General features: G+C 51.8%; 1 protein-coding gene across 14 annotated transcripts in view, besides 2 other annotated features; it reads left to right on the top strand.

The window, feature by feature from the left end:
• Positions 1–3,756: 3,756 nt before the first annotated feature.
• The window catches only part of MPP2 (MAGUK p55 scaffold protein 2), a 34,352-nt gene continuing 14,807 nt past the window's right edge, over positions 3,757–23,301 (top strand). For 2 of the 14 annotated variants that reach the window (NM_005374.5, NM_001278372.2), the window contains exons 1-3: positions 5,932–5,994; positions 8,975–9,038; positions 15,088–15,206. In NM_005374.5, the coding sequence (NP_005365.4) occupies positions 9,008–9,038; positions 15,088–15,206 (150 nt within the window). In that variant the 5' untranslated portion in view covers positions 5,932–5,994; positions 8,975–9,007. Of the gene's footprint in view, positions 3,927–5,931; positions 6,256–6,716; positions 6,914–7,316; positions 7,389–7,487; positions 8,101–8,974; positions 9,039–11,903; positions 12,185–12,843; positions 12,998–15,087; positions 15,207–23,301 lie in introns of those variants that run through there. The other 12 variants (NM_001278381.2, NM_001278370.2, XM_024450762.2 and 9 more) reach the window with 12 other exon arrangements.
• Positions 5,773–5,922: an enhancer, noted in NCBI's record as "active region_12249". NCBI's record gives its function as "activates an Ori minimal core promoter by ATAC-STARR-seq in GM12878 lymphoblastoid cells {active_cell/tissue: GM12878}" and the evidence as "EXISTENCE:reporter gene assay evidence [ECO:0000049][PMID:35858748]".
• Positions 12,845–12,924: a silencer, noted in NCBI's record as "silent region_8570". NCBI's record gives its function as "represses an Ori minimal core promoter by ATAC-STARR-seq in GM12878 lymphoblastoid cells {active_cell/tissue: GM12878}" and the evidence as "EXISTENCE:reporter gene assay evidence [ECO:0000049][PMID:35858748]".

Raw genomic sequence — 23,301 nt, 5'->3', positions numbered from 1 at the left:
AATGGCTTGCCTGAGGCCACCCAGTGTTCTCCACAGCCCTGGCCCCCTCTTCTGTCTGGGCTCCAATCTACTCTGTAAGCACTGCGTTGGTCCAGGACAAGCGGGGAGGGAAGCAGCATAGGATGTGTGCATACATGAGTGTATGTGTGAGTATGTGTATGTGAGAGTGTGTCTATGAGTGTGTGTATGAGGGTGTGTGTATGAGTGTCTGTGTTTGAGTGTATGTGTATGTGTGTGTCCAAGAGTGTGTATCCAAGAGTGTCTGTGAGTGTATGTGTATGTGTATGTCAGTGTATGCATGTATGTATGTGTGTACATATAAGTGTGTATGTATCTGTGTGTGAGTGTGTGTACTCAAATGGGTAAATGTGTGTATGAGTGTTATATATGTGTGTATTTGAGTGTGTGTGTCTGAGTGTGTCTGTGTGTATGTGAGTGTGTAGGTGTATGTGTGTGTTTATGTGTGTATGTGAGTGTATATGTATGTGTGTCTGAGTGTGTGTGTAGTGTATGTATATGTGAGTGTGTGAGTGTGTGTATGTGTGTATTTGAGTGCCTGTGTCTGTGCGTGTATGTGAGTGTGTGTAGGGATATGTGTGTGTGTATATGTGAGTGTGTGAGAGTGGTGTATGTGTATGAGTGTGTCTGAGTGTGTGTGTGTAGGGTGAGTGTGTATATGTGAGTGTGTGTGTGTCTGTATATGTGAGTGTGTGCACGCATGCATGGTGTATGTATATGTACAGCTCTCCTCCAGGTCACTAGTTCAAGCGGGGACACTCCTCTGATCTGTCTCCAAAGAGCAACTCAAGTGCCTCATGCGGTCCCCAGGGCATCTAACTGCGTCTACTTTCTGCTTTGATCCCCTCTTCAACTCCTACTGTTCAGAAGCTTCCTGCACTCCCTCACCCACTCCCTCATCAATCTCTGCCCTGTCCAGGGTCTACAGGGACACTTCAAATTATGGTTGGCTTGTAGGGGGGCTCCAGCAATAGACACTGGGTCATTGGGGTGGTTAGCAGGACTCCCCCCACTCCCAGGGTTTGCACTGACTTTTAAAAATTATTATTATTACTACTATTACTATTATGAGAGATTGGGGTATCACTATGTTGCCCAGGCTGGTCTTGAACTCCTGAGCTTAAGGGGTCCTCCTGCCTCAGCCTCCTGAGTAGCTGGGACTACAGGCATGCACCCCACACCCCGATGCACCGACTTTTGCAAGCTCTTCCCCACTTTGGCGATGGGCCACCTGTTACTGGCCCCTCACGTGATGCCCATATCAAAGCCCTTGGCACTTCAGTGGAGGTGCTGGAGGGAGAGGAGGAAAAGAGAAGTGGGTGGCACAGATGGATGTGGGCAAGGTGCCAGTAAAGAGTGTGTGGGCAGCGAGAAGAGGACATGCTATCTGTAACAGATACCTGGGGCTCCAGAAGCCCTGGGGTGGATCCTGCCTTCCGCAGGAGAACCTGAAGTCAGCCAGGACACAGCAGACAGCCAGAGATAAGGACTAACCACCCACGGCCCGCTGGCACCTAGCTAGAACCTGCCTAGACCTACTCCCAGAAGGGAACTGCGTTTATAGAACACCTTCTGTGTGCCTGGCACATGGCAGCCACTCTACCTCTGTCCTCTCCCAAAGTTGTTATCCCTATTGTACAGATGAGGAAATTGAGGCTTGGCAAGGTTATTTAACTGGCCTAAGACACACACATGAAGTGGCTGAGCCAGGATTTCAACACAAAATTGTCTGGTTCCAGAACTTCCCACCCCAATAGGGAGGTGGGCAGACTAAAATCAGGAGGCAAGGGAAAGTGCAATTGTTGGGCCAGGTGGAGGAACAGATGCTGCTTACAAGAGAGGTTTTGGGGCTCTGCCCTCTAGAAAGGCAATCTGACATGAACGCAGGCCAGGCTGGTGGTAATGGTAGTGGTAGTGGCGGAGGAGGCTTCAATTTCTGTCTTGAGGTTGTGGGATGAGCAAGAGGCCAGGAAACTTGGTCCTTCACGGAGGCCTTGGTTTAGTCCTGGTGGGAAGGCAAAGCTGTCTGGATCCATTCCTGTCTGGATGCCCTGTTGAGGCGGGGACTAGGGAGGACGGCATAGCTTTTCCTTTAGAACAGTGGTTTCCAAAGTGGGTGTGCACCTAGGGGTGTGCAAGATGATCCTTTTGGGTATGGGAAGACAAAATTGGAATTTCTATTTATAGTTAAAAAATTAATCCTGGCCTGGTGCAGTGACTCACACCTGTAATCTCAGCACGTTAGGAGGCTGAGGCAAGTGGATCACTTGAGCCCAGGAGTTTAAGGCCAGCCTGGGCAACATGGCAAGACTCTATCTCTACAAAAAATTAAAAAAAAAATTCTCCAGGTGTGGTGGCATGCAGCTGTGGTCCCAGCTACTCTGGAGGCTGAGGCAGGAGGATGGCTTGAGCCTGGGAGGTCCAGCCTGCAGTGAGCTATGATCATGCTACTGCATTCCAGCCTGGGCAACAGAGTAAGACCCTGTCTCAAAATATGTTTATTTATTTATAAATAAAATGAAAATAAAAATTCATCCCTATGTGTGTGATTTCTAATATGCATACTAATTAGTTGAATAACACAAATATAGTTTATAGGCAAATATTTATATAATTTTATATAGTCCATTGAAGGCTCTAATTTTTTTTTTTTTAAATACGGAGTCTCACTCTGTCGCCCAGGCTGGAGTGCAGTGGCGCAATCATGGCTCACTGCAACCTCTGCCTCCCGGCTTCAAGCGATTCTCCTGCCTCAGCCTCCCAAGTAGCTGGGATTACAGGCGCCCGGAACCACTCCCAGCTAATTTTTGTATTTTTAGTAGAGACAGGGTTTCATCATATTGGCCAGGCTGGTCTTGAACTCCCGACCTCACATGATCTGCCCACCTCGGCCTTCCAAAGTGTTGGGATTACAGGTGTGAGCCATGGCACCTCGCCCAAGTTTTTTTTTTTTTTTTTTTTTTTTTTTTTAAGTATAGTCCATAAATAAGGTTTCCAGAACTAGGCACTGGCCAGTCGCAGGTGTGGAGGCGAAGCACCTCAGAGGCTGGGTGTAGATAAACTGGGAATAGCTGTTGGTGGCCCCTGCTGGTCATTATAGGAAGTGCACCATCACTCAGTGCAAAGCCTTACCTGCTGGAAATTTGTAACACTTTTGAGTTTTATTTTTCTCTGTGCCTTGACTCCCAAAACTCTGGGCTGAACACCACCATAGGAATACCTTGATTTTGGGGGAAGGAGATATACTACCTGCACCTTTATGACCTCTGAGGCTGAGGCAGGGAGGAAGGCAGAGCTAATTACAAACCTCAGAGAAGGAGGACTCATTCCCCTCTTGAGGTAGGGGGCAGCCCTTAACTACTAGGGGATGCATTGCCGACCTTCAAACCTGCTTCCCTTCCCAGCTACTCCATTGCCAACCATTAGCAGCTCTATTCCTTTGGGGAACAGCTTAGGACACACTGCACCTTTATTATGGCATTCAGCTGTGCTACCAAGAAGCGCTTTTTGTATCTATGTAACACACTCCTTTCCGACTTCAACCCCAGACTGTGAACTCTAGGAGGTTAGGGCCCTTATCTCAGTATCACAGTAAGTGGTACCTTGCCTGGCACAGAAGAGGAGCATCCTATTCTGCATCAATAAATGTTTCTTCTCATTCTGTAACTGCACAAGGCTGTTGTGAGAATGAAACAATTTGTCAATTGTAAGGTCCTGAACAGATGTGAGAGGCTGGCATTCTGCAAGGCCTTTATTAGAGAGATACTTGTTGACCGACGAATGCAGTGGGGCAGCCGCTAAGAATAATGAGTTGGGCTCCACCTCCCCAGGTGGGCCAGAATCTGAGATCCCAGACTGTCCTGAGGATCCTAAATGGAATGGAAGATTTGATGTGGGTCGCTATGGAGGTAATAATTGCTTGATTAAGAAGTAATTAATATCTTGTAGAGATTCAAGATCCTTCCTCTTCCAAAATACAAATAGCTGAGTGATTTCCAGCCCAGAGGTGGACAGGTGACAGTGGAGGGTAGCCTTTATAATGGAAAGGGGAACTCTTCCTGAATTCAATTATAAGGATTTTCTAGGCCGGGTGCAGTGGCTCATGCCTGCAATCCCAGCACTTTGGGAGGCTGAGGTGGGCAGATCACCTGAGGTCAGGAGTTCGAGACCAGCCTGACCAACATGGAGAAACCCTGTCTCTACTAAAAATACAAAATTAGCCAGGCATGGTGGCGCATACCTGTAATCCCAGCTACTCGGGAAGCTGAGGCAGGAGAATTGCTTGAACCCGGGAGGCAGAGGTTGCGACGAGCCGAGATCATGCCATTGCACCCCAGCCTGGGCAACAAGAGCGAAACTCCGTCTCAAAAAATAAAAATAAAAAAGAAGAAGAAGAAGAAGGATTTTCTAGCTTGCAGATAGAGGAAAGAGCTGCAAGCAATGCGCTCCAAGAACCCTCTTTGTTTAGAGACCAAAGCCTGCAATTCCTGTCAAAGCTATCTGGGTTCGATGGCTTTCTTCTCTCAGTAAAAGCCTGGGTCACCTAAACAATGTGGTTTTCAGCAGTTCGGCCGCCTCTGTGGCTTTTTCCTATATCCAAACTTATACCCTTGGAACTCAGGGGAGAGCTGAGTCTTGGAACCCAGGGACCAGTCCCCTGCTTTCGGGATAGATTCCCATTTCTGAGATTTCCAAGCAAGTTTCCAGAATGTAATCCATTTCTTTTCTTTTTGTTTCTTTTGAGACAGGGTCTCACTCTGTTGCCCAGGCTGGAGTGCGGTGTTGCAATCTCGGCTCACTGCAGCCTCAGCTTCCCAAGTAGCTGGGACTACAGGCGCGCGCTACCACGCCCAGCTAATTTTGTTTATTTTATTTTTTGTAGCGATGGGGTTTCACTATGTTGCTTGGGCTAGTCTCGAACTCCTAGGCTCAACCGATGCTCCCGCCTCCGACTCCCAAAGTGTTGGGATTATGGGAGTGAGCCACCGCGCCCGGCCAAAGATGCAGTCCATTTATGATCTTAGGAATCCAGTTAGCAAGGAAAAGGGATGACTCTCACATTTTGTTCAGGGCAACTGGACGGGGTGGCTGAACGCCGAGGTCGGAGAAGTAGCGTAGCTGGCCCCAAATGCTAGTCGCACTGCACAGAGCCTCCCGTATTTGGAGGCCCAGCATCTTTTACTAGCAGATGTGGGGTGGAGCCGGAGGCTGGGCGAAGGCGGGCCAGTGGGTTTAACCCTTTATTTACTTTTTGGGCTGGGACTCTGAGGAAGGCTAGCCAGTTACTTCTTTATTCCATAGGCAGGAAAATGGACCAGGCCTCCCTCACCTAGACCTAAAAGAGGCTCTCGAATCCTTTCAGGAAGACATTTCCTCTTTTTTGCAAAATTTCTGGAAAGTCTGGAATCCGGATATCCACCCTCTGAGTCCTTAAAAAGCTGCCCCTGATCCCGAGGCCTTCTGGGGCTGGTATCCTGCTTCCTGGGAGTCTCTCTGAAGTCCTCCTATTCTTTTTCTCAATATGGAAGCAGGATAACGAGGAAAAGTGAGGCACGCCTGGAACTAGAACGCCGGTCTAAGCCAAGATGGGTGGGCGGAGTAATCAAGCCGGTCTCATTAGGCACTTTTACCATCGCCCCTTTAAGGGATCCTTGGGAGCCGAGGGGCACCAGCGGGTACTGGTACCAGTCCTGCCTCCCTAACCCTTCCCAGTGGGACTCCAGCAGGGCGTCGTGGTCTGTGCGGTGTCTCCCAAACCACTACCTGGCTGCCCCCGTACCAGCTGCTGGGAAAGACTACTTCCTCCGAGTTGTGCCGGCCTCCGCGTTCTCCTCACCTCCCCTCTCCTCCGGACCTCCGCCCCCTCGCGGAGAGGCCTTGCCGCTTTAAGAGCCGGGCTAGCGATTGACAAGCAATAAACGCTGAGCGCCCGGCTGCGCTGGAGCCGCCCGGAGCTAGGGGCTTCCCGGGGCGCAGGTAGGCGTCCCCCGGCCCCCGGGCCAGCTCCTATCCCAAGACCTCCGCCTTCTTTTCGTCCTGACACGGCACTTAGGACCCTATTCACTGGGTTTAAACTCCACAGGCCCCTTTCACCCAGGCCCGTTCCCTCCCTGTCCACCCGCCCCCGCCCCTGGGCCCTCTTTCTGGGGTGCTGGTTGGGAGAACCAAGCCCCGCTGCCCATTGACACTGGTCCCCGCCCCTGCGGTAGGGGCTCCAAAGTGGCTTCAGGCACCAAGGTGGTGAGCTGTGAGGGGCCCCGGTATCTGCGCGGCCTCCCCGGGGGCTGTGCGGGTTGGGGGTACTTAGAAGCCCGGCATTACGTAAGAACCGTGCTGTTAGCGCTTCCGGGGGTTGGGGAGCGAGACAGAGGTTGCGCTGGGTCCCGGTGGCCCCCTGGTCCCCCTAGGCAGCTAACACCACAATCTTCCCTGGGAGGGGGTCCGCAGAAGGGCGCGCGCTGCTTCTCCCGCTTCCCAAGCTGTAGCGGGGCGGGTCGGGAGCCAGGGTTAGGGTCTGGAGACTTGGGAGGGGACCGGTGCCAGAAGCGAAGAGCTAGGGTTAGAAAGTTAGGTCAATTAAGGGGGGGGCGGTGCGGATAAAGACGGGGTGGGGGTTGGCCGGGGCAGTCATTTAGTGACCTCATCCCTGGTCTCCGGCGGGCGCGCACGTAGAGAGCCTTCTTTGATGGCTCACAACACGCCCCCCTCCCCCAGGTCCTAGCGCCCAGGGTGTTAGGGCTGGGTCCGTTGGGGCAGGGGTGATCTGATGGTCCAAGCATGCACGTCCGCCTGGCCTTTCGACCCCATCCTCTGGCCCTCAGTTCTGTCCAGACCTCCCCGCGACCTCTCGCTCTCCAAAGCGCCTTTGTCAGACCTTTCTTCTCCGCACCTCTTTGTATGTGTATGGATGGAGGGATGGGTGGGAGGTTGGAAGAAACCTCTCCCTTTCACTGCTGGTCCGCTCGCCTGCGGACACTATGGGTGATGTGGATATCTCGGAGGCAGAGCTGAGAGGGCATCTGGGCCCAGGCTTTTGGAAGCCGAGGTGCAGGTTCCCAGATGTCTGGGTGCAGGACCTTGGCACGGAGCCAGGCTAGCTTGCCTGGCACTGCCGTTCTCCTGTGGACACAGCCAGGCCCCGCCCTCTCAGAGGCTTGGACGGGCGTGGGGGAGCAAAGCCAGCCGATGCTCTGGGAACCGATTCCCCGGGAGAAAACCCAGGCAGGCTGGGCAAGACTTCCGAGCGCAGGGATTTCATACAGGATCCTCCCTGCCTTTTCCCGCCCTCCACGCTCTAGGGAAGGAGGACTTCTGGAGTCCCTTCTCTGACCCTGTGAGGGAGAGCAGCGCCAGCCAGGAGAAGGCTCCAGGTCATCAAGGCCTGGGAGGGGGAGGGAAGGGATCCCTCCTCCCTGCTCTCTAGGAGTAGAGATTGGCACCAGGGGCACGGGCCAGCACAGTGGATCCTGGGCATTTCTTCCAGCCTGGGTGTAGCCTGAATAGGGGTGCCCTTCCTCTCCCTGAAAGCACCTTTATTCCATGTCCTCAGCGGCAGAGCTGGGAGGAAAGGGAACCATCCCCCTCACTTTTGTAATTTCTGTCACCTGAGCTCAGGTGACCAGCTCAGGCCTGAGAAGGGAATGGGAGCAGAGAGGGTTTTATTGAAATCAGGTACTAGTCCTCTGGGAAGAATCCTCTTTTGGGGGGAGGTGGAGTTGCCGTGGTTCCCCCACCCCCAGGACTCAGCAGGCATTCAGTCCTAAAGTGGGCACTGCCAGATGCTTCCCCCCACTCCCCACCCCTGCTGTGAGCCACTGCCTCCTGTTGTCATGGCAACTGGGAATTAGGGTTTTATCCAGCAGCACATGCCCAGGAAGGCAAAGGGAAGAAGGGTGGGGGGTAACCCCCTGCCCTCTCCTGGGAGAACGAGGGAGCCACTCCTAGCCTGGGGAGGCCCTGGAATGGAAACTGGGGCTGTAGACTCCATGCTTGGTTCTGCCCAGAGCACTTGGTCTCCTTGTGCCAGCTCTGAGCTAAGAAAGGGAGAGAGGAGAGAGAGCCAGCCAGAGGGGCCGTGGAGAGGTAGATATCACTCTGTCAGCCCCCCAGATAAATGTGGAACATCGGCGCTTTGGTAGGCCTAGGTTCCAGAAGCAAATAAAATCAATGTGGTTCTGACTCTCAGGGAACCTGCAGTCTAGGAGTACTCATGTTTTCTACTTTGGCTCAAATTCTGGACTCTTTTATTATTTTTTAAATGACTTTTTTTTTTTAAGACAGGTTCTTGCTCTGTTGCCCAGGCTGGAGTGCAGTGGCGCAATCATGGCTTACCGTAGCCTCGACCTCCTGGGCTCAAGAGATCCCCCTGCCTCAGCCCCACAAGTAGCTGGGATCATAGGCATGCACCACCACACCTGGATAATTTTTAATTTTTTTGTAGAGATGGGGGTCTCGCCATGTTGCCCAGGTGGGTCTCAAACTCCTGGGCTCAGGTGATTCTCCTGCCTCAGCCTCCTAAAGTGCTGGGATTATAGGCGTGAGCCACCTTGCTCAGCCAAATTATAGTCTTACCCTCTAAAAATTCTACTTGTTTCCTCTTCAAAAAACAAACAAACAAAAAATACAACAGGAAGAAACACTTTATTTATATACTTATTTTTGAGTCATAAAACCTGGATTTTCATTTTAGCTCTCCTTATTAGCTTTGTGAACTTGGGCAAATCAGTTAACCTCCCTTATCCTCCCTGGTCTCCTCCTCCTCAGAGAAATAGGCGAGTAATACCTGCTCTTCCTGCTTCCCAGGACCGTTGGAATCATTGTTGTTCTCCAACCCCCACTTTCTGGGCAGCACCTTCTCCCCTACCTTTCTGGCTCGTCCTGAAGGGGAGGCTCTTCCTATTCCCTTCCCCATTGCTTTGCCCTTGTATCTGCTCATCCTCCTCTCTCCCCTCTCCAGGAGAGACGTTTCAGAGCCCTTGCCTCCTTCACCATGCCGGTTGCCGCCACCAACTCTGAAACTGGTAAGAAGGGGGTGAGGATGTTAGCTTATTTCAGTGGTTCAGAGGGTGCCAGGCGAGGACTTAGGGGTGGGCACTTGCACAGCTCCAGATAAGAACCAACTGGCTCCACTGCTGTCCACCCTACCACTCAGCCATTCCTTCTGGCAGCTGCTGTGGCCATCTCCTCTGTGTGGGTTCCTGTGCTGGAACGGAGAAGAGAAAGAATAAGACCCATACCTGCTCCAGTGTAGGGCTGGAGCACAACTCACCTCCGTGGAGGGCAGGGGATGCATGCTCCAGAGGTGACCCGTACTATTGCTGGAGGGCAGTGGCATAGGACCAGGCCTTCAGGAGGTGGCCCCGGAGCTGGGCCTTGGAGAATGGCTTGGGGGTGGAGGGATTACAGCAGCACAGCCTGGGGCTGAGAAGTCCATAATCGCTGCCCACTAGGCCAGCATGTGCCAGAGGTGGACAGGGGGTACTGGGGACCAGGAAGCTGTGAGTGAAGGAACAAGAATACCAGGTTAGGATACCTGGACGTGGCTCTGTAGGAGGCATTAGGACAAGGGAGTGGGCCACTCAGACAAACTAGCAAAGCCTCAGTGGCAAACTGCTTAACCTCTTGGAGCTCGCATTTCTTCTTCTGTAAAGAGGCTGCTGTGAGACGCAAAGGCTGTAATGGGAGAGCACATTACTTTTAGGAATAGTCATAATTATTATGCTGCTGTTGCTGCCGCTGCCACCAAGTTGTTGTTGTTGTTTTTGAGACAAGTTCTGGCTCTTTAGCCTAGGCTGGAGTGCAGTGGCGCAAGCTTGGCTCACTGCAACCTCTGCCTACCAGCCTCAAGTCATTCTCCCACCTCAGCCTCCCAAGTAGCTGGGACTACAGGTGTGCACCACCATGCCCAGCTAATTTTTGTATTTTTCGTAAAGACAAAAATGTTGCCCATGCTGGTCTCAAACTCCTGAGCTCAAGTACTCCACCCGCCTCGACCTCCCAAACTACTGGGATTACAGGTGTGAACCACTGTGCCTGGCCTGAGTTGTTATTTTGGCATTAACCCTGTGTCCTTGAAACAGTCACCTCCTTTTGAAGACCTGAGATTTCCCTAAGATGAGATGATGGGACAAGATCAGTGTTCTTAACTTTTTTCTTTTTCTTTTTTTTTTTTTTTGAGATGGAGTCTCCCTCTGTTGCCCAGGCTGGAGGGCAGTGGTGGGATCTCGGCTCACTGCAACCTTCACCTCCCAGGTTCAAGTGATTCTCCTGCCTCAGCCTCCCAAGTAGCTGGGATTACAGGCACCTGCTATCATGCCCAGCTAATTTTTGTATTTTTGTAGAGACTGGGTTTCACCATGTTGGCCAGGCTGTCCTGACCTCAGGTGATCCACCTGCCTTGGCCTCCCAAAGTGCTGGGATTACAGGCATGAGCCACCACACCTGGCCTGTTCTTAATTTTATTGGTCCTGAGTCACTTAGAATCTGGTGACAGCAGTGAGCCCTCATCGTAGACATATACATCCATGCACAAAAGGTATATTCTACTCTAGGGGATCATGGATTCCCGTAGTGCACGCAGGACCCCAGAAGGTTAAGTTCCCTGTGCTAGAGGCCCTCTGAGGCCCGGGCAGCTGGGAACTGCTATGGTTCTGCTCTGAGTTGTCTGAACTTCCCCCTGCCTGGATGCCTCCCTCCCATGCAGCTCCTTCCCTTGCTCTAGGCCCCACTACTGCCTCTGCCAGAGGTTCCAGGGCTGCCACTTTGGGTAGAATGATTCCTCTGTGCCTCCTCTCCGAGAAAGTGAAGGGAGTGAGCCAGGGCCTAAACTGTGGTACACTTGTCCAGGAAAGGCCTCTTCTCCTTGCAGTGGAGGGATGGCACCAATGTCCCCAGCTTCTGCAGCATCAGAGGGCTCAGTCCCCCATCTCCTGTCCAGCCTGCTGGGCTCCCTGGGGTCTCCCTGCCTCTTTCAGCCTGCCTAGGCCCCACTGTAAGCTGCTTAGGCATTAATTAAACCCACCCCTGAGCCTGTGCTTAATGGCCTCTCCAGCCGGGACTGCCCAGTAAACCCACCAATAGTGCCTGACTGGGGCGTAGGAGGAGGAGCAAGCCCAGCAATTTGGCTTCGTTGTTGCAGACCACTTGATGGGGGCGTGGTGGGGGAGGATGGGGGACAGGGAGTGGAGCCTTGGGGTGTGGCGGTGGGTTCTGCTTCCTCAAAGGACTCCTGGGGCTCCTGCTCCCCTTCATGTTGTTCGAGGGGCTGCTCCTGGCTTCTCATATTCAAAGGAAGAAGTACAAAGTGTTTTTCTTCCTTCAGGCAGCCTCTGTCCTATCCTGAGCTACATTAGCTCCCAGCTTCAAAAATCTAATGGTGGATTCTGCCCCTTATTATCTGGTGGTCATTATACTTCCCACAGGATAGAGAGACAGCTGTGTCCCTGCCTCTGAGTTCAGGCTCCCCTTCCCTCCTCCTCCCCTGGGAGATCCCTGCCTTGGACTCTGCAAAGGGCAAAGCTAATAAGATCCTTTTTCCGCCCTTCCCCATGGGTCAGTATGGTTGAAGGGAGGGAAAGGGTATGGGTGTATTCCTCTTGCAGGGAGACCCCATATCTACTTTGGGTAGAGTCAGGGGCCCTTTTCCTGAGACTTGGGAGATAAATGGACAGTGGCACTGGGCTGAGAACTTAGAGATCCTGAACCTGGCATCTCCTGACCTGCAGCCTTGCTCCCTCTTCCCCTGTCACCAGATTCCCTCCCTTTTTTGGATCAAGGCTGGGATATGTGGCTGCTTTCAGGTGGAGCTGTCCCTTTAAATCTCTCCTCCATCCCTGGGTTACTGTCCTGGTGTGTAATTCTACTGTCATGGCAACCAGGGGTGCAATGCGACCTGGTGCCACTCCTCAGGGAATGTCTGAGTGGAGGCTGCAGTACCCTGATGGTGGCCTCTTGGGCACAAGATCTCAGAGGAATGGGGTCACCGGAGCGGAGCTGAGTCCTTCCCTTCTGCCCACACTTTTCCCTGTGTGCAAATGTGCCCTCATTTTTCCTTTCTGGGGAACTGAGTTCCAAGATGCCTGACTTGCTTCCTGGGCATCATCCCCTTCATTAAGAGGAAGAACTCATGGGAGATGGGGGAGGGGAAGAAGCTGCTGTGAGGCGAGGGGTAAGCAGGGCTGGGGCACCATCCCTACCCACAGCGATGCCACCTCCCCCACGTACCCTGCCTCCCAGTGGCTGACCAAGGGTGGGTAGGGGGAGGCGTCTGAGGCTTGAGGTATTTGCCCCATGCCCAAGTGAGGCTGCCTCCCGGTGGAGGGCTGAGTCGTTCTTGGGGACTTCCTTAGACTGAGGGACTATTGTAAAGGAAACAGGGCCTGGAGAGGGGACTGAGAGCAGAGGTCAGAGGGCATAGGGAGGAGGTGGCATGGGGTGTATTAGAGGAGGGGCTTCTAGAAAAGAGGGTACAGGGACAAGATGGGCCAAGACTTTTCTCCCTCGGGTCTCCTGAAGCTGGCTGTGAGGGGAGGGTCTCGGAGTACCGCGCCAGTCTTGAAGGGGCAGCATGCCTACCCCCTCCTCAAAACTTCCTGTTAGCCGCCTCCTCCCCATCCCCACCGACACTGACATGCTGGGGATCGGGCAATCTGTGGGACTAGGGCTCCCTCCCACCACTCTTCTCCCACCCGGGTTACCGCCTGCTCTGCACCGCGCAGCGCCAGTCAGGGCTTTAGCCAATCAGCAAGGCGGTCACGGCGGCTGAGCCTTCCCATTGGCTGGTTCCTCAGAGGGCGCTCCTCGACTCCCGCCTTCCCCAGCCCGGCCAGGCTTTGGCTGGGGAGGCGGTAGACGGCGGCGTGTAGGACGCTCCGGGAGTCCCCGGGTCTGGGGGCCGCCATGGCAGGCAGCCCAGGCAGCGGGGTCTCCTTGGAGGGTATATCCCTGGAGTCTTCTGAGGAAGCGGAGCTCCAGAGGGAAGGTAGGGAAGGGCGGGCCAGATGGGGGCGGGGCAGCTGGCCCCTTAGCCTACCTTCCTCCAGCAGAGTCGGGGCATCTGGGGAGGGTGGCCTGGGAGAGGTCATCTGAGGGCACCTTCAGGAGAGCTGTCCTGGGCAGAGGGCACCAACTCCCTTGGCTCAGTCCTCCCCTAGATAACGGAGGGAATCTGGCATACCCTGGCAGGAAGGGAAGGGTCCCTGCCCTGGCCTCTTTCAGAGCCCACTGAGGGCCTCGCAGGTCTCTGACCAATGCCAAGCCCCGGCCTGGGCAAGAGGGGTCTGAAGGGCAAGCTTGCACTTTTTTTTCTGGAGAAGGCAGGGAGCAGGAGGAGGAAGGAGATGGGAGTCCAGGAGTCCCTGAACCATCTCTGCCAGCTCCAGTTCCAGTGCCCCCTCCTCCCCACTCCTGTTCCTTCCTGGAGGAGGGGGGCACTGACAAGAGCATTGAGAGGCGCCAGGGGTGCATCCTCCGCCGTCCTCCGTGGCTTGGGTACTGTTATGCAGATGTAGGCATGGGCGGCATGGTGGCAGAGTAATGATACCCTTCGCCCATCTCTGCCCCCAGCTGGGCACATTCTGCTTCTCGCTTCCTTTCCCCGGAACTTGCCACAGCCTGGAACTCCCACCTCTGTCAGTGAGTGAAGGCAGCCCTCACCTCAGGTCTCGGGGGCATTGTTGCGGCCCAGCTGCAGGTGTTATCGTGTCCTCCATTATGTCCCATTTCGGGCTGAGAGTTTGCTTATCCCTGTGATGACTTGGTGTGACCTCAGCCTTTGGGTCACACCAAGGCCTCCAGTGCCTGTTTCCCTAGCTCCTGCCAGCGTTCCAGGCCTCAGCTTTGACTTCCTATCATCCATGTTAATTTCTCAGTGATTATAGATCATTGTCACTCAGAGCTGAAGGCCTGTAAACATCATCTAGCCCAATCCATCCATTTTACAGGCAGGAAAGACTGAGGCCAGTGAGGGACAGTGACTTGTACAATGTCACACTGAATTAGTGGTGCTTAGACTGGAGGCTGCAGGCCCTGGCTCCTGTGTGGCTGCCTGCTTGACTCTGGGCCTGTACTCACGGACTTGCTCCGAGTACTGTCTGTCTCATCCTTGAGCCTGCCAGGTACAGGTGGCTGAGCCCTGGGCTTCAGCCCATCTAGAGGTTGAGTGAGGAGCTTGTGGTTTTCTTTTCTTTTTCTTTTTTTTTTTTTTGAGACGGAGTCTTGCTCTGTCGCCCAGGATGGAGGGCAATGGCAGGATCTCAGCTTACTGCAACCTCCGCCTCCTGGGTTCAAGCGATTTTCCTGCCTCAGCCTCCCGAGTAGCTGGGATTACAGGCGCCTGCCACTACGCCCAGCTAATTTTTTGTATTTTTAGTAGAGACAGGGTTTCCCTGTGTTGGCCAGGCTGGTCTTGAACTCTTGACCTCAGGCAATCCACCCGCTTCGGCCTCCCAAAGTGCTGGGATTACAGGCGTGAGCCACCGCGCCCGGCCAGAGACAGTCTTGCTCTGCCACCCAGGCTGGAGTGCAGTGGCGTGATCTCAGCTCACTGCAATCTCTGCCTCACAGGTTCAAGCAGTTCTCCTGCCTCAGCCTCCTGAGTAGCTAGAATTACAGACCTACACCACTATGCCTGGCTAATTTTGGTATTTTTAGTAGAGATGGGGTTTTGCCTTGTTGCCCAGGCTGGTCTTGAACTCCTGGCCTCAAGTGATCCACCCAACAGCTTGTGGTTTTCTGGTGCAGGGCAGGATCTGCAACCTGACACCTGCTTCCCTTTCTCCCTTCTCTCCACCTCAGAGTCTCTTCCAGCTGCCTGGAGCCTCCCACCTGCTCAGGCTGGCATTACCTAGGGTGGAGAGAACAGGCCAAGGAAATTGTCCCCTTCCTCCAGGATCCCTGTCCCAGGCATTCAAGGGCCTGGGGTGCCTGTGCTGGGCAGGGAGGGGAATGTTGCCGGGGAGGGGCTGCCTTCTGTGGGACATGGGGGTGGGGAAGTGGCAAGTATTGTGGTGTGTTTTGGTCTTCTGTACCCAGCTGGTACCTGTGTATCTCACTGCCCGTACCTTCCCCCAGCCATGCAGCAAGTCCTGGACAACTTGGGATCCCTCCCCAGTGCCACGGGGGCTGCAGAGCTGGACCTGATCTTCCTTCGAGGCATTATGGAAAGTCCCATAGTAAGATCCCTGGCCAAGGTACAGTGCTCCAGGGAGGTGGGCACAAGGGCACTGTGCTTGGGGAGGCACAGTAGGGGATGGGGTATTAGCTACAGAGGGCTTTGGGAATGGGACATGTGGCACAAGAGGCCCCCCTGAAGGGGATTGTAGAAGAAAATCATGCCCAGGTGATGACCTGAGTGGCTGCAGGTAGAGGGGGCTGCCCCCACACCTGTCTGGTGAGTGCGTGGGTGGATGTTTGTTGACTGCCAGCTTGTGGAGTGTGTGATTGGTGCGGGCTAGCATGCACATGTTGGAGAATCTCTAGAATTCATCTTGCCTGTCCTTCTGCCTTTGGGCGTTTTGTGTGTATGTCTTTCTAAGGTCACCTGCCATGTATCAGGTTGGGGAGAGATTGACTAAAAGAGAAAATTATAGGACAATTTGGTAATGACAGTGATAGAGGTGGATACACTATGCATTTTGGGAGCATAAAGGACAGGTGTCTAACCCAGCCTGGGGTGGGTGAGGAGGGCTTCCTGGAGGAAGGACCACTTGAGCTGAGTGGAAGAATGAGGAAGAGGGGGAGGGCATTCTGGGCCACAGAAGAGCTTGAGCAGAAGCACAGAGGTAAGAAAGAGTCAGGAGTGTGCAGGGGATTGGAAGGGCTGGTGTGAGGCTGAGCCTCAAGTGTAAGACAATGCGAGCTGTGCAAAGGTTGGCAGGTCTGGAGGGCACTGGGGGCTGTATGTGGGTGCTTGGGCATCCTTCTGTGAGTATCAGGGAGGCTTTATGGTTTTTTTTGTTTTGTTTTGTTTTGAGAAGGAGTTTTGCTCTTGTTGCCCAGGCTGGAGTGCAATGGCGTGATCTTGGCTCACTGCAACCTCCACCTCCTGAGTTCAAGTGATTCTTCTGCCTCAGTCTCCCGAGTAGCTGGGATTACAGGCATGTGCCACCACGCCCAGCTAATTTTGTAGTTTTAGTAGAGATGGGGTTTCTCCATGTTGGTCAGGCTGGTCTCCAATTCCTGACCTCAGGTGATCTGCCTGCCTCAGCCTTCCAAAGTGCTGGGATTACAGGCATGAGCCACTGTGCCTGGCAGGCTTTACATTATTTAAGCAGGGATATGATGGCCAAATGTGGGTGTTTTGGCAGCCATGTGGAGGACTGTTGGGGGGTTATATCTGAAGTTGGAGAGGCCAGTTAGTGGCTCTTCAGTGGATTGAGTATAAGATGCTGAGAGCCTGAAATGGAGCTGTGGTCCCAGACCTTAGGGTAAACTGGTGGAACTTGGTGTTTGGCAGTAAGGGCTAGGGTACAGTAAGGCACCTGGGATCCTGCCCCAGGGAGTGTGGAAGGATGCCCCCTCTCCTGAGGGGGGGAGGTGGGGATGGTGCCCATGGCTGCGTTGGAGGCAAGGCTGGGAGCTGTGGGAAATCAGACCTAATTGCTCAGATTTCTTGGTGAAGGTGGAGCAGTCCTCTCCTGGGAATTAGGGATCAGAGATGGAGCAGGAAGATTCAGAAGGGAAGGTTTGACTGGTCACTGAAAGGGAGAAGGAATTAAATGGATGGGGACCTCGACTGTCCATGTCAGGTGCCCGATTTCCCAGGGTGGGGGTGACTCCATCCAGAGAGGAAGAGAAAGGAGCGGGGGCTTTGGTCCAGGGCACGTGCTGGCCTGGGGCTGTGGAAGTCGGATGCAGGGAATTGTGAAGGGAGCTGGTGAGAGAGGCTCAGAGAAAAGAGGCCCAGGCTGGAAAGAGGCAGAACAGGGAGAAAATGGAGGTGAAGGCTCGGTGGCTCTCTGAGGTCACAGAGTATTTGAGGGGTGATGGTAGGGATATAGATGGAAGAGAAAAAGACCAAGGTCAGAGGAAGGGAGGTAGGAGGTGAAAGTTTTCCAAGGAGGACAGTTCTAGGGATGCCATGATAATGTAGGGTGGGGCTGCAGTGGACAGGTAGGTCATCAGTGTTGAAGACACCCAGAAATGGAAGGCTCAGGAGTGGGATGGGCTTGTCCACACACCTATTGGCATGTAGGGCTATGGCAGGCGTCAGGGTGGGGAGAAGACTGAGGCAGTCCCCAGGGTTTTCAGTGCATGGTGGTGGAGGTGACCAGGAAGTCGGCAATGACAGCAAGGGTAGGGAGAAAGAAGGTATAGCCAGGTGGTGGGTTTTCTGTAGAGCGGGGACTCTGTCACAGGCTGGCTATGGCTGGCCCTGGCATGGGATGTGGAGGACCACGTCCCACTGGAGTGGGGATTGCTGCTGCAGGGGACACCATGTCCTTGGATTGTAGCCTATTCACATTATCTGTGGAATGGTTGAAGACTTGGGAAGATTGTTAACAGCGAAAGATGAAAAGTTGCAGAGGTTTAATAGTGGGAAGTTCTGGGGAAGAGAAAACTGAGCAGATTGGAGGAGATTGGAGAAAGGCAGGGTGCTTTTCATTCAGCAATCGAAGATCCTACTCATTTACTAAAGATAAAGACAAGAAGCTGGGAGTAGGGGCATGCACCTGTAGTCCCAGCTACTCTGGAGGCTGAGGTGAGAGCATTGCTTGAGGCCAAGAAGCTCAAGTGCAGTTCATGTAACATAGTGAGAGCTCGTCTTCAATAAATAAGTAAATAAATAATAACAATTATACACATTTCAAACATAGAGACTTCCATGAAGGCAGGAATGTTTGTCTTTTTGATTCACTGCAGTATCCCCAGAGCCTACAAAATGCCTGACACATAGTAGGTGCTCACTGAATATTTGTTGAATGAATAAATACAAAAGAGCATAAAAAAATAACAAACTCCTGAGTACCCATCTCCAAAATGTTAATAATGTTTGTTTTGACTCTTGCCATTTCTTCTTAAGAAATAAAAAGTATGAGGCACACGGCACGGTGTGGCTTACAGCTTTAGTCCCAGCACTTTGGGAGACCAAGGTGGGTGGATCATTTGAGCTCAGGATTTCAAGACCAGCCTGATCAACATGGTGAAATCCTGTCTCTATAAAAAAATAGAATTAGCTAAGCATGGTGGCATTCACCTGTAGTCCCAACTACTCAAGAGGCTGAGGCAGGAGAGTTGCTTGAGCTGGGTAGGTCGAGGCTACAATGAGCCATGATCATGCCACTACAGTCCAGCCTGGGTGACCGAGTGAGACACTGTCTCAAAAAAAAAAATAAATAAATAAATAAAAAGTTTGGCACAGTTAATGCCTCTCCCCTTCCTCATTTTCACTGCATTCCCTTCCCACAGGTAACCACTGCCTAGAGATTGATGTCATTTCATTGAATGTTGGCTTATCTTGCCTACATATGTGTTTAGCTGTAAACAATATACCTTTGTGGGATTTTTTTTTAGACAGGGTCTTATTCCATCTCCCAGGTTGGAGTACAGTGGAACAATTATAGCTCACTGCAGCCTGGAACTCCTGGGCTCAAATGATCCTCCTGCCCTCCTGCCTTAGCCTCCTGAGTAACTGGGGCTACAAATATGTACCACCATGCCTGGCTAATCTTTAAATTTTTTTGTAGAGGCAGGGTCTTGCTACATTGTCCAGGCTAGTCTCAAACTCCTGGCCTCAAGTAATCCTCTCAGCCTCCCAAAGCACTGGGATTATAGGCATGAGCCACCATGACTGGCTCTACCTTTGTTATGTGTGCTTTTTTTTTTTTTTTTTTTTTCCTCTGGAGTCTCACTCTGTTGCCCAGGCTAGAGTGCAGTGGCGCAATCTCGGCTCACTGCAACCTCCACCTCCCAAGTTGAAGCGATTCTTCTGCCTCAGCCTCCCGAGTAGCTGGGACTACAGGCATGCACCACCATGCCCGGCTAATTTTTGTGTGTGTGTGTGTGTGTATATATATATATATATATATATATATTTTGAGATGGAATCTCACTCTGTCACTGGGCTGGAGTGCAGTGGCACAATCTCAGCTCACTGCAACCTCCGCCTCCTGGGTTCAAGCGATTCTCCTGCCTTAGCCTCCCAAGTAGCTAGGACTACAGGCATGCGCTACCATGCCCAGCTAATTTTTGTATTTTTAGTAGAGATGGGGTTTCACCATGTTGGCCAGGATGGTCTCGATCTCTTGACCTCGCAATCCGCCTGCCTTGGCCTCCCAAAGTGATGGGATTATAGGTGTGAGCCACCGCACCTGGCCATTTTTGTATTTTTTTTTTTTTTTTTAGTAGAGACAGGGTTTCACCATATTGGCCAGGCTGGTCTCGAACTCCTGACCTCATGATTCGCCTGCCTCAGCCTCCCAAAGTGCTGGGATTACAGGCGTGAGCCACCATGCCTGGCCATTACGTGTGCTTTTAAATTTTATATAAATGAAATGATAGTGTAAGGTGCTTCTGTTTTTGAGATTTCTATTTCATACAAGTAGTACAGCTATCGACCTAAGTATAGATATAGATAGAGATAGGGAGATTCATTTGAACTGCGGTGTGGTGTTCTGATACAGCAGTCCCCAACCTTTTTGGCACCAGGGACCAGTTTTGTGGAAGACAATTTTTCCACGGATCAGGGTGAGGGGGGTGGTTTTGGTATGCAACTGTTCCACTCAGATCATCAGGCATTTGTTAGACTTCTCATAAGGAGCACACAACCTAGATCCCTGGCACGTGCAGTTCACGGTAGGGTTGGTGCCCCTGTGAGAATCTAATGCCACCACTGATCTGACAGGAGGTGGAGCTCAGGCAGTAATGCTTGCTCACCTCCTGCTGTTCACCTACTTCCTAACAGGCCACGGATCAGTACTGGTCCATGGCTTGGGGGTTGGGGACCCCTGTTCTAATATATGAATAGAGCTGTTTGTTTATTGGTTCCCTTCCTGAGAGATGTGTATGTCACTGCTGATTTTGCTGTCTTAAAAACAGTGCTGCAGTGAACATCCTCATATCCATCTGCTTCTGCATGCATATGAGGGTTTCTCTAGAATGGACACTTGGCAATGAAATTGATGAATATGTGCAGTTTTGAACCTCAACATCTGTAACTTTCCAAAATTGATTTCAGAGTTGGGTTTATGAGCCCACATCACCTCTGGGTACTTTAGCTATTGTCTCCACAGTGAGACAGTGAGACTCTGCTTTGTGATGGCAGAGTCTCAGAATGAGACAGCCCTCTTGCCAATACCCTTCAAAGCAGGGTCCCCCTTGATAGCATTCCTCTCTGGTCCAGTCCACTCGACAGTCCACTCGACAGCTCTCTAATGATGGGTTTGCTGGCTGGCTGGCTATGTCATTCACTCATTTGTCCATCCATCCATCCATCCATCCATCCATCCATCCATCCATCCATCCATCCATCAAATACCTATTTTGCACTCGCCACATACCAGGCACAGTGCTGGGGTTATGGCAGTGAACTGCCAGATAGTTTGTTTTCCTGATGAAGCCCAAGTCTGTCTTCCTTTCACTGGACACCACAATGCCCCAGTCCTGGGACCTCACAGTAAAGCCTAATTGAAAATGAACCAATGTGCTGTGTCACATTGTAAGTAAACTCCCTTCTCTGGAAACGTTTTTGGCGAGAAGCTGGTCAGGATTTTTTCCAAGAAATTCCTGGTATGGTTCCGGATTTGTAGAGCACAATAGAAGAGAGTATGGACGTTTCTTCCCCTCTGAGACCCCCAGTATGAGGCTAATGGGCTAAGGCAATCCAGTAACTTCTTTCTCCCTGTGGTTGTGAAACAAACAGGAAGTGAATCTCCATAAAGGAGCCTACCTGAGCCCACTGGAAAAAAAAAAGCCATTCATTTCTTCTGTCCTTGTATGGGTGAGCCTTTGCAATGTAAATTTGCCACTCCTCTCATCAAAGACAGTGTCTCTCAGAGCTCCCTGCATTGGACAATGGGACCTACTTCCTCCTTCTCACCAATTTTAATCATTATGTGTACACAGACAAATTTCTAACCTAATAGACAAAGCACTGTGATCAAAGATCCAGCTGCAAAAACTTCGTGAAGTGGCCCAGAAACCCACAGGAATGAAATCAGATTGGAGCCACATGTGGTAGCTGTTGGCCTCCCTCCCTTACGCTGTGGAGCTGGGCTTGACTCTGTCTGGGGATGTGGCAGACAGTGTAGGAGGGGCCAGGCTGGGTAGATCTGGGACCAGGGAGGGACAGGGCCTGAGGATACAAACCCAGAGGGTTAAAGGCCCTAAGGGAAGTCAAGTCTGGCAGAGAGATCAGAAGTCCAGGCGGTTGGCTGCACACAGCAAGTGGCGGCCCTGGCAGGTGGCTGGCATCTGGGACGGCTGACATGGATCCAGTAGCAGGTGTTCCAGCTACAGACAAGGCCAAGGTGAGGAATCCAAGGCAGGGGACATTCAGAAATTCAGAAAAATTGTTACTAATGGGGACAGCTGAGAGGCATGTGAAGGCTGTTGTGAACTAATTCACATGAGATGAAGAAGAAAGAACACAGGGCTTGGAGTCAGAAGATTCCACTGACCAGCTTTGTGAGTTTGGTATATCTGTCAACCTCTCTGAACTTCAGTTATTTCTTATGGAGGAATTTTTAAAAAATTAATATTTCTTTATGTATTTATTTTAAAAGAAAGGTGAGGTCTCACCGTGTTGCCCAGGCTGGTCTTGAACTCCTGAGCTCAAGTGATCCTCCCACCTTGGCTTCCTAAAGTGCTAGGATTACAGGTGTGAGCCACCATGCCCAGCCCAGTTATTTCTTTTGAGAAGTGGGGAGAATGATACCTATCCCTCAGAGTCGTGGTGGGGCTAGGTGGAGGTTATGGAAGTGTAAGTTTTTTTTTTTTTTGAGACGGAGTCTTGCTTTGTTGCCCAGGCTGGAGTGTAATGGTGCAATCTCGGCTCACTGCAACCTCTGCCTCCCAGGTTCAAGCGATTCTCCTGCCTCAGCCTCCCGAGTAGCTGGGATTACAGGCCCACCATCCCCGGCTAATTTGTGTATTTTTAGTAGAGATGGGGTTTCACCATGTTGGCCAGGCTGGCCTTGAACTCCTGACCTCAGGTGATCCACCCACCTCGGCCTCCTCCCAAAGTGCAGGAATTACAGGCATGAGCCACCCCGGCCAGAAGTGATTTTTGAATCAGGAAGAGTTGTTATAATCTTAGCTTCAGACTAGAGTTCACAGGGAGGCCTCTTGTTCTGTGGGGAGGCTAGGGTGGAAGACCTGGGAAAGCAAGACAGGGCCCTAGAAGAATAAAGGTCTAGGGAGGTCACTAAGATAGGGGCTCTGACAAGGGGACATGACAAGCAGAGGGTGTAGTGGTGAGGCCAGTGTATCAGTTCACTTTTGCTGTGTAACAAACCATCGTGCTGTGTCGTGGCTTAAAACAACTGTGATTTAATTCCCCTGATTTTGTGGGTTGGTTGGGTGGTTCTTCTGGCCTGGGCTTGCTTAGCTGGGGCTGGGTGGTCCGGGATGGCCTCACTCACATGTCTGGTGTCTTAGCTGGGAAAACTGCAATGTCTGGGATGGCCAGACCCCTTTCCATGTGGTCTCTCATCCTCTAGGAGGGTCTCTCATCCTCAGCCACCTTCACATGGTAGTCTCACAAGCAAGGAAGGACAAGCCTCCAGTCACAAGCACTTTCTAAGCCTCTGCTCACATTTGATAATGGCCCATTGGCTAAAGCAAGTCACATCTGTCAAACCCAGATTAAAGAGTTCCTTTACTTTCTGACACACTACTCTCTGGGACATCTTTTAATTTAACTATTTAATTATGAACCAGGGCTTCAAATAGGAATTCCCTGTCTTTTGCCATGATCGGGGGGTTGGAGTGGAGGGCAGAGGGAAAACTTTTCAGTGAAATGACTGTGTAGTGTTTGCATTTGCAGCCTGCTACAGCTCTGGATTGGGAGCAAACAGAACAGAGTGCAGGCTGGTGCCACTATAAACTAGCTGTGTCTCCCACTTAAGCTTCTGGTCTACCATGAGCTTGAGCCCCTGCTTTGCTGAGGATAATTTTCAGAGCAGAATGAAATGAATGGCTACCACAGAAATTCAAATCACTCTTCTAGTTCTGGGCCATGTGTCACTTAACATGAAAAAGAAGAATAAGTCTTAGCAAAATAATAGTGAGTAAAAAAGCAGTAAGGGAAATAATTGTTCACTTAATGTTAAGTGAAAAAAAATCAGA

The sequence above is a fragment of the Homo sapiens genome, chromosome 17 (genome assembly GCF_000001405.40).
Source record: "Homo sapiens chromosome 17, GRCh38.p14 Primary Assembly".
Classification (NCBI taxonomy): Eukaryota; Metazoa; Chordata; class Mammalia; order Primates; family Hominidae; genus Homo; species Homo sapiens.
This window is presented reverse-complemented; position numbering and strand designations above follow the sequence as displayed.